The 2,673-nt window shown below is 34.7% G+C and overlaps 1 pseudogene; it reads right to left on the bottom strand.

The window, feature by feature from the left end:
* Positions 903-2,349, bottom strand: RBM48P1 (RNA binding motif protein 48 pseudogene 1; annotated as a pseudogene).

Raw genomic sequence — 2,673 nt, 5'->3', positions numbered from 1 at the left:
AAACTTTTTTTTTCCACTCAGCACCATGTTTTAAAGGTCTATTCATGTCCTGTATTTAGAGTTGGCCTGTTTTTCACTAACTGCTATGTAGTTTATATAGTGTTCGTACACTACCTTTTGTCCCTTCCTTCCAACGATGAACACCTGGGTTGCATCCACATCACTGCTACTAAAGACAGCACTGTAATGAACATTTGTGTGTTTTCTCTCATACTGGTGCAAGAATTGCTCTAGAATACACATCCAGAATATGACTATATCTAGTCATAACATATATCTATGTTTAAATAACTTTAATTTAATACTTTCACATTACTCTTCAGAATACCTAGGCCAATTTAAACTCCCACCAGCGATGTCTACAATTTTTCATATCCCTACTTCCCAGGCAGCACTTGCATTATATAACTTTCTCATTGTTGCCACTGTAATAATTGCAAATTAATACGTCTTTTTCGTAATAACCTTCTTTTGAGTCTTCACTTCTGTGAAATAATGGTTCACAACTTTTGCTCATTTTTTCCTATTTTGATTTACTATCATTTTATTATGGATTAGCAAGAATTATTTGTATATTCTGATATTAGATATTTGTGGTTTTAGATATTGCAAATAATTTCTGGAAATAATAAACTGGTTTCTTAACTTTGTTCATTGTGTCCTTTTGTTGACAGAAAGCCTGTATTAGATGCTATAGAATCTATGAGCAATTTATCTTTGTTAACATTTATTAACCTCTGTTAACTTTATTATTATTATTTTATTACGTTTTTTCCTGGTTGCCTATCTTGATTTATATTGTAAAGTTTCCATACTTGCTTTAATTAATTTACATATAATTACCATACATGAGAGGTAATGTTATAATTATAAGAATAGTTTCTGCACCATTAAGTATGGATCAAAAAAAGAAGAAATGACTTTAGACAAGTAGGTTGAATAAAATTACAAATAGGAGTGCATTAAAAAATACCAGCAGTAAAATCTCTTGAATAATTGAAATGACAGGCTAAAAATAAAATTTTTTTTTTTTTTAGAAAATACTAATTTGCTGCTGGCACTCTATATTCTTCTTCTTTGTTTTAATGGATGACTTGTATGTACCTCTGCCGGCTTGTCCCCGGAGGCTTTGGCAGATGAAATTACCTGTTTAAGTTTATTCCAAATTAAATTTGCTGTTGTATTCAATGAGTCATCGTGCATATCCACTTTAGATATATCTGGTAACAGAGGTCCAGTCATAACCTCATTACTACTTGAGTTTGTTTCAAGAAAAGTTCCAACTTTACAATCATCTTCTCTTCCTCTTTGGCGCTCCTGCAGTTTTGTTGTCCTAGGCATAAATCTGTCTGTCAACTGCCTCTGAAGGAGTAATAGCCTTTTCTGCACCAGGGTAGGCCACTGAGTTTTTGAAAGTGTTTATTTGTGTTTTCTGCAAAGAATCATTGTGGTTATAATGCCCCATTGTTTTACCATGGTTTCTATCATCCTTAGAAGAGTCTGATGCTCTGTCTACATGCCCCCCGGATGAACATATACATTTTGAGAAGAAATAACATAAAGGCAATTCACAGGAATATGGAAGATAAGGATTTGAGTTCCCTGCAGAAGGGTTCACAGCAGCTGTACAAAACCCAGACATCTCTGAGTGGAAGTCTTGTCTAAAATTCTCTGTGTCTTTATGCTCTGTAACCAATTTCTTTGTCACGTAATGGTCTTTATATTACAATTTAAAAGGTGAGGGGAAGGAAAACAGAAGTGGCTTATGTATTGTTTTCATCATTCAGAATCATATAATTTAAAAAATCACTTAAAAATGTTAACAAATTCTACTCCAAAAATTTATTCCTTGAGAAGGGAATATATTCACGTGGCTTAAAACCTTTATTTTCAGTAGTTCTTACTACATATGCCTTCCGCACTTCTGGTTTTTTTCTAGTTTCTTCAACTGTTTCAAATGCTGGAGCATAGCACACATGAAGCAATCCACCGAGGAAGCTCTGCTCATCCATTTTTCTCTTGGCTGTCCTTGCACTTTGTAAGTTTATAAATTTAATAAGATAGACTTCAGTAAAGTCTTCTGCAGGGTATTCATCTAGAACATTGTACTGTTCAGTTGCACCATGCAAAGCGAATCGCTCAACTATTTCCTTCATGGTTCCTACAGCGGGAACTCCTTGTATTAATAAGTACTGAGATTCCAAATTGATTGTATATATCTTGACAGCACGAGGCCGTCGTCCCTCCCGATATTTGGCCCACGTGTTGCATACTGCTCTCTGGACCTGGTGGTCAAATAAACTCCCTAGCTCCCTGCCGCTCGACGCCATCCTGTCTGCTTTGATCCTCCCTCTGTTAACCTCATATACTTATCTTTCACAATGAGAACTTTTTTTGAAGTGTACCTTTTTGTATGGCATAAGATAGAAATCCAGTTTTATTTTCTCCATAAAGTGAGCCAGTATTCATACATCATCAACTAAATATTCAGTTTTTGGCACATTGATCCATGTACTATTTAAATACATGATCTTCTTTTCAGAAAACAAGCAAGCTAGAAGGCAATGAAGTGACATTTATAAAGTGCTGGAAAAAATATGTGTGTGGTGTATATATATTTTTTCAGACAGATACTAAGGGGCTTTACTGCGTGAGGCATACTCTATAAGAAAG

Source organism: Homo sapiens, chromosome 4, assembly GCF_000001405.40.
Source record: "Homo sapiens chromosome 4, GRCh38.p14 Primary Assembly".
Taxonomy (NCBI): domain Eukaryota; kingdom Metazoa; phylum Chordata; class Mammalia; order Primates; family Hominidae; genus Homo; species Homo sapiens.
This window is presented reverse-complemented; position numbering and strand designations above follow the sequence as displayed.